The 9,774-nt window shown below is 42.7% G+C and overlaps 1 long non-coding RNA gene across 1 annotated transcript; it reads left to right on the top strand.

Moving 5' to 3' along the window:
* Window positions 1-7,011: 7,011 nt before the first annotated feature.
* LOC124903157 (uncharacterized) lies at window positions 7,012-9,432 on the top strand. Its single transcript, XR_007063759.1, has 2 exons — window positions 7,012-8,606; window positions 8,742-9,432. It is a non-coding gene; the product is annotated as an uncharacterized LOC124903157 (long non-coding RNA).
* The last annotated feature ends 342 nt before the right edge of the window (window positions 9,433-9,774 follow it).

Here is a 9,774-nt window from a genome sequence, read left to right as displayed (position 1 = left end):
GGATCCGGGCTGCCGGCCCCGCACAGCCCGCGCGTCGTCCCTCCGCCCCTCCTGGCCGCACAACCAATGGCCGCGAGCGGGTCCCACTCCTCACCGCCCCCTAGTCTCGGCTCTAGCGGGCGCTTGGCTCTAGGACGGCGCCCAGCTCGGGCGAGGGAGGAGCTTGCGCCACCATTGGAAAATCTCGGAGGACGAGGAGGCGTTGCGCAGGGAGCCCATCTGGGGAAGGCAGGTGTAGTGGGTGAACTTTTTTGTGTGTCGGGGGGAGGAGGGGGGAGTGGGGAGGAGGGCAGTTTTTTTAGGGCTCAGGGGCCTTTCTCTGCAGATGAAAGCATCCACTTCTTGCCAACTTTCTCCTCCTCTTACATCTTTTATGAGTTCCTCGCAGCCCCCACCCAAAACAACTACTCTGGGTGCATCATCGCAAGCCCAGCTCTGACTGAGTTGCGTGGGGCATGGCCTCATCCTGTGATGAGCTTAACCACAGACAGCCCTTGCTCAGCCTTCGCCGCGTGCGCCTCTGAATCCTATACCAAATCATTAAATGAGTCGAATAGGATTGGAGTTTCTGTCATTGCCAGGGAGACAGTCAGTCATGAGTCCCTACTAGGGAACTGGCGTAGAGAGTCATATATCGTAACAGAACTCCGGAAAAGGAGGCTTTAACTGATCCGACCAACTTCAGTTACCAGTCAGTGCTGCTACCTTGACCAGAAGACTCTCTCTCTGTATTCCTGTTTTTCAGCTGGAAAATGAGAGACTTCGATCACTTGGTGGCTGCGGTCTGTTTCACTCTGACATTCAACAATATTGTTGCTCTGTGGCCTGTAAAGGGCTGAACTCCTGGGAAGTGTTGGTGTGGCTACCTGTTCCTTGAGCCCCTACTCCATCTGGTTCTGCTGTCTTCACCGTGAGACCTATTAGTGGCCAGAAAAGCAAATCATGCACAATACAGAATCAGGCCACCCAAGTCTCAGTGACCACCAACACATGCACGTATACTGCCACCCACCAGGGCCCGGCTCCTAGGAGCCTGCTACTTCCACCCATGTTCAATTGTTCTCCACGTAGAGATAGGCAGGGGCACCTGGCTTAACTCTGAAGCTCCGTGGTACATAAGTAAAGGCTCTCTGTCTCTCCCCTTCCTTCTCTAGGGCAATTGTGGGTGGGTGTGAATCTCTCTTATGTGGATCCTTCTGTGCCTGATGTAAAATGCAGGAGGATGGAATGAGCTGTGTTGTCAAGAGGGCAGATTCAGAGAACCACTTCCCTCCGGGCACACTTGGATTGGCTTCCTGAATTTCACCTGTTCATGTGCCATTCTCATGAGTTACCTTACATCCATCTACAGTCTGCTCCATTATGCACTTAGTAAATTTTACCTTAGATTTTTACTTGGCTTCATCGTAAGCAATAATATCTATGAAATTATTGGTTTGTGAGATACCAGTTGTATTTAATATTTTAATGCACAATGAAATGAAGGCATAAGTCTTCCATGCTAAAATCATTCTGAATATCACTGGTTGTTCTCACAACTCACTTTTTGAAACACTAAGGTGTATGGGGGGGCAGTTAGAACTGTTGACCTTCAAAACAGTGGTCCTCAAAATTTCTTTGTGCATAAGATTCCTAGGCCCCAACCCTATTGTCTGGTTCATTCATACTCTACATGTTTGTTTGTTTGTTTTGTCTCTCCCCTTCCTTCTCCAGGGCAATTGTGGGTGGGTGTGAATCTTTTCTATGTGGATCCTTCTGTGCCTGATGTGATCCTTCTGTGAGGAGTCTTGCTCTGTCGCCCAGGCTGGAGTGCAGTGGTATGATCTCGGCTCACTGTAATCTCCACCTCCCTGGTTCAAGCAATTATCCTGCTTCAGCCTCCCAAGTAGTTGGGATTACAGGTGCCCACCATCACGCCCAGCTAATTTTTGTATTTTTAGTAGAAACGGGGTTTCTCAATATTGGCCAGGCTGGTCTTGAACTCCTGACCTAAGGTGATTGGCATGCCTTGGCCTCCCAAAATGCTGGGATTATAGGCATGAGCCACCGTGCCCGGCTCATACTCTACATGATTCTAATACAGTTTGTCTATTGAGAAACCCTGCCAACATCCTGCAGTTGTCAGAGAGGGGAAAAGAACTGTTGATTGCTGGGCAGTCTTTTTATTTAGACTGGTATAGCAGTTTTCTTTTCCTTGTCTTACCTTTGGTGACAAGGTAAGGTAAGCTTTCTTTCCCTCGGTGTCTATTTTATAAGAGGGTGGATTCAGAGAACTACTTCCTTCCAGGCACACTTGGATTGGCTTCCTGAATTTCACCTGTTCATGTGCCACTCTCATGAGTTACCTTACATCCATCTACAGTCTGCTCCATTATGCACTTAGCAAATTTTACTAAGTGCTTTATAAAGCTTTTCTTGACATTTCCTAAACTTAGTTTCCTAGTTTAGTTCCTAAGTTTCCTAGTTTCTTAGTTCCCATAGTTTCCTGGAGTTAACAAATGACCGGAAACTGGGTGGCTTAAAATAACGGAAATGTATTCTATCTCAGATCTGGAGTCCAGAAATGAAATTGTTGGTTGATTCCTTCTGGAAGCTCTAAGAGAATCCAATACAGAAGTCCCCGCATTGTTCATGGGGTATGTGTTCCAAGGTCCCCAGTAGATGCTTAGAACCACAGATAGTAGTGAGCCCAGTTCTGTTCATCAGAACACATTTCTGTTCATGTCTTCCACCTGCAAGCTTAATGCCCTTTTCATCTTAACTAAGCTCTTATCCCATGCTGTATATGAGAGGCTGTAACTTTTGCAGTTTGAAGTGTGACAGCAAAACTGCACAACTTTCTTTTCCCTTCTTCACAATTTCACGAATAGAAGATTCCTTCTTACTGTAGATCTAAGCAACCTCAGCCTGTGTGTTTTTTCTTTCCTTATTAAGAATTTTCACCTTTTCACTCAAAGGAAGCACTTTACAGTTTTTCTTTGGCATACCCGACTTGCCAGTATCACTACTCTTGTATTTTGAGGCCATTACAAAGTCAAATAAACTTTTCTTGAAGACAAACAGTGTGATTCCATGACAGCCAATTTGATAACCAAGATGACTACTAAGTGGCTAATGGGTGGGGAGCTTAGACACTGTGCATACACCATTATATCCACAGGAGGTATCCATACTGGACAAAGATGATTCATATTTCGAGCGGGATGAAGCAGGACAGTGCGAGATTTCATTACACTACTCAGAATGGTAGCGACTTAAAACTTATGAATTGTTTATTTCTGGGATTTTCCATTGAATATTTTCAGATCACAGACCTGTTACCTGAAACCGTGGAAAGTGAAATCTCAGATAAAAGGGGGACTACTGGGCATGCCTTTTTCTCAGCATTCAGAAATGTTTGGTGTTCCTTGGCTTGTAGGTAGATGCATTGCTGCAGTCCCTGCTTCTGACTTCAAATCATCTCCCTGATATGTTTCTTCTTCCCTTCTTTTCTAAGGACACTTTCATTGGATTTAGGGCCCACCATAATCCAGAATGATCTTATCTTGAGACTCTCAATTAAATTACGTCTGCAAAGACTGTTTTTTCCAAATAAGGTCACATTGACAGGTTCTAGATGTACATATATTTTGGGGGAGGCACCATTCAACCCACTACAGTTAGTATCAGTGATTGCCCAACCCCTCTGCTTTTGTGTGAGGGTGTCCTACCTCCTCAGGGTGACATTGGGTAAACTCTAGTGATTTTAGGCTTTTGGGTAGCTGCCAAAGTCAACAGGGCCACTTTGCACTTCTCAAAAAAAAAAAAATACTGGCCATTTAAAAATGACACAGGGAAAACATGTAAATGTGTTTTGTGGTCTTACTTTGTAAACTCAGTGGTTCTGTAATTCTTCTTTCTCTTTATCTTTTTGGCTTAGGGTAGGGTGCCTTGATAACATCCTCTGTTTGATCTGGTACAAAACTCCTTTATTGCCTCTGTATTAGTCTGTTCTCATGCTGCTAATAAAGACACACCCAAGACTTGGTAATTTATAAAGGAAAGAGGCTTAATTGACTCACAGTTCCACATGGCTGGGGAAACCTCACAATCATAGTGGAAGGCAAGGAGGTGAAAAGTCACGTCTTACACGGTGGCAAGCAAGAGAGAGCTTGTGCAGGGGAACTCCCATTTATAAAACCATCAGATCTTATGAAACTTATTCACTACCAGAGAACAGTGTGGGGGAAACCACCTTCATGACTGAATTATCTCCACCTCGCCTTGACACATGGGGATTATTACAATTCAAGATCAGATTTGGGTGGGGACACAGTCAAACAATATCAGCCTCCAAGTACAGTGAAGAATTTGGGAAGCTAGCTTGATATGGGAAACAAAGCCTTTGTTCTCTTTATCTTAAAAAATTTCACATATAAGATATCTAGAACATTTTACTTGACAAATTTACTTACATAGGACGTCTTCATAGGTAGGACAGGTACCACTCAAAGGCCTGGGAATTTACAGGCAAGGTTTGGAGACATAACTTTTAGGGAACACAATGATTATTCTCCTCCCCTTCAGTCTTATTCAGGGAGAAATGGGTTGTGAAAAAATGGTGTGGAATTTGGAATCAGATGGAGAGTCATTACATTCTGATGCTATCGTTTACTCTCTGTGTGAATTAAGCCAAACACTTAACCTCTCAGCCTCATTTTCCTGATCTATAAAATGAAAATAGTGTCTGCTTTATTAAATGGTTGTTGAGTGCTAAATACGTGTGCACACGCGTGCATGCACACACACACACACATGCACACACAAGAGTTCCAAACAGTTGTCTGCTATCTGGTAAGTGCTCAAAAATACTAGCTCCATCTTTCCTTCCTTGCAGCCATGCTCTGAAAGCAACATTCAGAAGTACTTTTACTAATTTTCTTCTAGGTTATCAGGAAACTTTTTAAATGTTCTACCGTGGTTACTGCATGGACTAACTTGTCTCTCACTTTCCTTTATTCCTTCATCTCAGCTTCCTTTTGATGTTGCCTTTCCAAACTTTATCTTCTCTCTCATGCTCACTCTCTTTTCTTTCAAGCAAGCCTCTTATTCCATCAGCCACAATATCAGAGACCTGTGTTCTGTAAAGGAACTCTGAGAAAATAACTCTGTTCATTTTCTGAGCATCTCTTCAATCCTTTCAATAAATTCCTTTTTTGTTGTTGTTTAAACCAGCCAAAACAGTTTTTATTGCTCACAACTAAGAATACTTTGGCTGAGGCCTGATATAAAGGCTGTACTTCAACAAGAAGAATGCTAATTAACTGATCCAGGTAACTTCTCCATCTAGGGCATTTGAACTGGAATATTAGAATGGGTCAATTAGAATCCATAACAGAAGCAAAAAACGTACACCTAGAAACTAAGAGAAAGGAGAAGAGATGTGTAGGTTAAAATTATGAGTAAGCAGAAGTTATGAATAAGCAGAAGTTATGAGCTAGCAGAAATCAAAATACATGCAGAGGAGAGGGAGTGGTGGTTGGCTGATAGTGGCAGGCAAGTTGAAGCCAAGAGGAACATGAAGGCAAGGGAATGAATGAACCCCTCTTTTCAGGGGACTCCGTGCTAACATATTCACTAGATCTGCCTTGAATCCTGAACTCTTTTCCAATTTCTAAACTACATTTCAGTTTCTATAAAGTTGAATAACCCTGGCTATTCATGTGCTCCCCTGAAATTCCAGTTGCTCTTATTTTGATGTGTATCCTTACCATAGCTCCCCTATTATCTGAGGTAACCTGGCAAAAATCTATTTTTTTTTTGTGACCAAAAGATTCCAAGGATTGCAGTGATGTTTTGACTAGGACCCAGTAAATAGCTGTCAAATAGAGTCACTCAAAAGTCACTGATCCGCCTTTTCCAAGATGTCCCTTTCTCTTCTTATCTTACTTGAAATTCCAAGCAGGAGACCTCCTCCTCTGGGCTGGAAAATTAATGTTTTATAAGAGGCCTCTGTTTAAGACGTGCTCTATTCCCTGAAGGGAAAGAAGAGCCAGGGGTGTTTCTCTGTGCACTAGCCATTAGCACCCAAGCAGATTGTATGAGTTTACCCTCAAAGCGAACTCTCAGAAGTCTGATCTCAGGGAATGAGCAAATTAGAGGGCAGAAGAATTGGGCATTGGGCAGGGGGAGAGTGGAGAGTAGATCATGGAAAATGGCAACGAGAGGTCCCGGGACATTCTAAGGGAATGTGTTATGGACCATTTCCAAGAAGGAAGGTCCTGGCGGGCTGCCCTGTGAGAAGAGGGCTGGAGAGCAGCGGGGCCAGCATAGTGGCTGTTCTAATGAGGTAGACACCAGCACCAAACAGCCCCATTCCCAGCCTGCCTTGCGCCAGCTGCAGAGTGAGAGTTTGCACGATTTTCTTTACCCTTCTGCTCCTCCAGGAGATGGGACCAGGCTAAAGTGGGCCGAGGAAGACAGGCATCATACCTGCCCCATTGGAGGTTCTGCTCAGAAGTTACACCAGCATTAGTTGTGCCTTTAGGTTACTTATAGGAATCTGCAACCTTCCTGTTGTTGTTTTGTTTTGTTTTTTTTTTGAGACAGGATCTTGTTTTATGGCCTAGGCTGGAGTGCAGTGGCGTGATCATAGGTCACTGCAGCCTCAACCTCCTGGGCTCAGGCAATCCTCTTGCCTCAGCCTCCCTAGATGTTGGGACTACAGGCATGCACACCATACATGGCTAATTTTTTAATTTTTGGTAAAGAGAGGGTCTCACTATGTTGCCCAGGCTGGTCTCAAACTCCTGGGCTCAAGCAGTCATCCCAACTTGGCCTCCCAAACTGCTGGGATTACATGCCTGAGCCACTGCGTCCAGCCTGTGGCCTTCATTTTTATCTCCTGCAACATACAGTGCCCTCTCACGGCTTGTTTGAAAGGAAATATCTGTATGTCTCACCCAGGCAGTGAATGGTACACACTCCAGGAAAAAAAAAAGTGATTCTGTTTATGAGACTTGAAGCAGGAAGGAGTGGATTTACTCATGCTGCTGTGTTTGAAGGGAGAGAAGACATATCAAAGCTGCTTTAAAGAAAGCAGAAGTCAAGTTATCTCTAAAGAGCTTTATTCCTTCAAAGTCTAAAATATACCACAGGTTTCTTGTTTTGTTTTTTTATTTTTCCTTTTCAGAATAGTGGGTGGAAATGCTCTTGGAATAGCAGTGAGTCACATCAGGGTGCAGGTAGGAGAAAAACGTTAATGCCATGGATGCATCTTTTCATGGGGTACGAGCCCCATCAATGTCTGTGTGGCCAGATGACGCACTGCGTGTTATAAATCAATGATGAGCAACGTGAAGAGCAGACGGGGAGCTTCATGCATCCTCCACAGCTCTGTCTTGTGACTGGCTCAGGTCCATGTGCAATTTTGAAGAGGATGTTTGAAAAGGATATTCATCATTTTAAATTGCTCTGTGGGAGCTTTGCAGTTCATAATGTGCCACTTAGGTACTTCTCAAAGATCAGTTTTCCTTGACGTGGTTTACAATTTAATAACAGCAAAAGGGCAACTTGGGGTGTTAGGACAGAAAACTAACTTTGAAGGAATTAATAAGAAATGTGGAGTGGAGTGGAGAAGAGCTAAATAGGTTTGAGATATTGGAGCCCAAAATGTCTGGCACTGGTAACTTCCATTGTCTGGCAAGAGCGTTGTCATCCTTTCCTCAGCTTAACCCTCAAATATATGGGGAAAGTCTGCTTACAGCTTTCAGCATGACTAAAATATGCTTTCTCTTGTGGAAAAAGAGTTAAAAACCCAGCAATGTTATTTAACCATACTAGTATTGATGATCTTGAAGAAAATAGAAGATTGTTATTGAGATAGTTCTGAGCCAAACTCATCTGCTATATTCTTTGCCTCATTTTGCGGTTTTACTCGAAGGGATCCTCATCAGAAGTGTGGTATGTGAATGGCACTGACTGTCAAGTGGACAGTTGGAGTGCAGGCAGCTGCTCCCCGGACACTCAGGTGAAAATGAATTAACAATTGGTAGCCTGGGAAAATGTGCATCTTGAGCAAATGTGCTCTCAAGTCAATGAAAGAAGAAAACAGAAATGGATCCTGATTCTTTCAGTACCGTAAATATTAGCAGAGTATTATGTGTGTAGAATAAGAAAGTATGACACTTCCACAGACACTGCCGGAGGGAGACAGGAAAGAACAGCAGACTCAACAGACTTACTGTTACATATTGAACTATTTTTTTCATATGTTAAAAATGTTTTTCAAAGCTCAAGGAGGTATTTCCATGCAAAGTACCTGTAATGAAAGTGTTTTGGGAAATGGTGCCATAAAAACAGAGCCAGTAGCAATAGGATTTCTACTTCTTGCTTTGATATGCAGGCAGGTAAGTAGAGAAAATTTTCCCTGAACAGTGTTTGCAGTTTAAATGTCATAAATACTTTCATGTATTTGACAAATATTTATTGTGCACCTCCCTTGTGCCAGGAACTGTTCTGGGTTTGTGAGACACAGTTGGGAAGAAGACAGACTTGAGCACGGGCAGCGGTGGTTGCCATGAAGATGTGTGAGAAGACAGGCCTGCCTGAAAATGCTGCTGGTCCTGGTACTGTCCTGCCCGCAACAGCACGCACACTCCAGTCTTGCCTTTTCTTGTGCTTTTTTTTCCATTTCTTTTTAAAGAAATCTCATTTCCCTTCTTCTTACTCTTGTTCTCTCTTTTCTTTTCCTACTTCTCCAGGTATTTCTCCACCTTCACGGGACCCTCCAAACCAGTGCCCACTGCTTTTCTCAGTCGGTCATCCCCCTCTGTTCTCACTTCCCTTCTTGTCCAGCTTAGACACCATAATTCATCACTCCAGTGGTCTGCAAACTAGGTGCCCATCAGGTACAGGAAGACTTCCCAAGGGAGGACTTCCTTGCAAAGAAAGTTTTAAGGAAACTCTCAATCATATAGATTCTTTTTCTTAAGTAGGTCCACCTGAGAACTCACAGGTATGTATGGAGCCCCTTCACCTACTCTACATGAGAAAGACACATACCTCATCCATCCCGAATCTTACTATCATGTATGCAACTGGGCCGTAAAACCTTCAGAGTGCCAAATAAAGTGATGTGCCAAAGTATTAGTTTTAGGAAAATGTTCTTAATAATTAATTGAAACACTTAGGACTTTCCTGGTTTTCCTGTCTTCTATGTATTTGGTCCTATAAACAGTGTGTATCTTTCCCATGTTGGAATGTTCTGGAGTCAGATACGGGATAGAATGATATGGAAAGAATAATAATCTTTTTTGTTTAATTACTTTGACTCTTTTATCTTTGGTCTGTTACCAAGGAAACTACTGCTCTGAAAGTAGAGTCCTGTGAAGGCAAAGCAAAGAAGATATCATCAGAAAATGCTGAGAATTAAAAACAACATGTTAAAAAACATACCTGAACAATTTTTGTTTTACTTTATTTATTCAAGATACTTATCCTTAGGACTATTTTTTAAATTAAATTTTAAAATTTTAGAACAATGATAGATTACAAAGATTGACAAAGATAGAATTCCCATCTACTGCACACTTAGCTCCCCCTATTAGTAATATCTTACAATATTATGGTATATTTGTCATAATTAATAAAGCAATTAATGTTTCAATAATGATGTTATTATTAACTAAGGGCCATATTATTTCTCTTATTTTTTACCTAATATCTTTTTTCTATGCCAGTGTCCTATTCAGAATACTGCACTCATATCTCCTTATATTCTACTCTCAGCTGTGA

The sequence above is a fragment of the Homo sapiens genome, chromosome 13, assembly GCF_000001405.40.
Source record: "Homo sapiens chromosome 13, GRCh38.p14 Primary Assembly".
In the NCBI taxonomy this organism is placed as follows: Eukaryota; Metazoa; Chordata; class Mammalia; order Primates; family Hominidae; genus Homo; species Homo sapiens.
The sequence above is the reverse complement of the archived record's forward strand: the minus strand, read 5'-3'. Positions and strand labels throughout refer to the sequence as shown.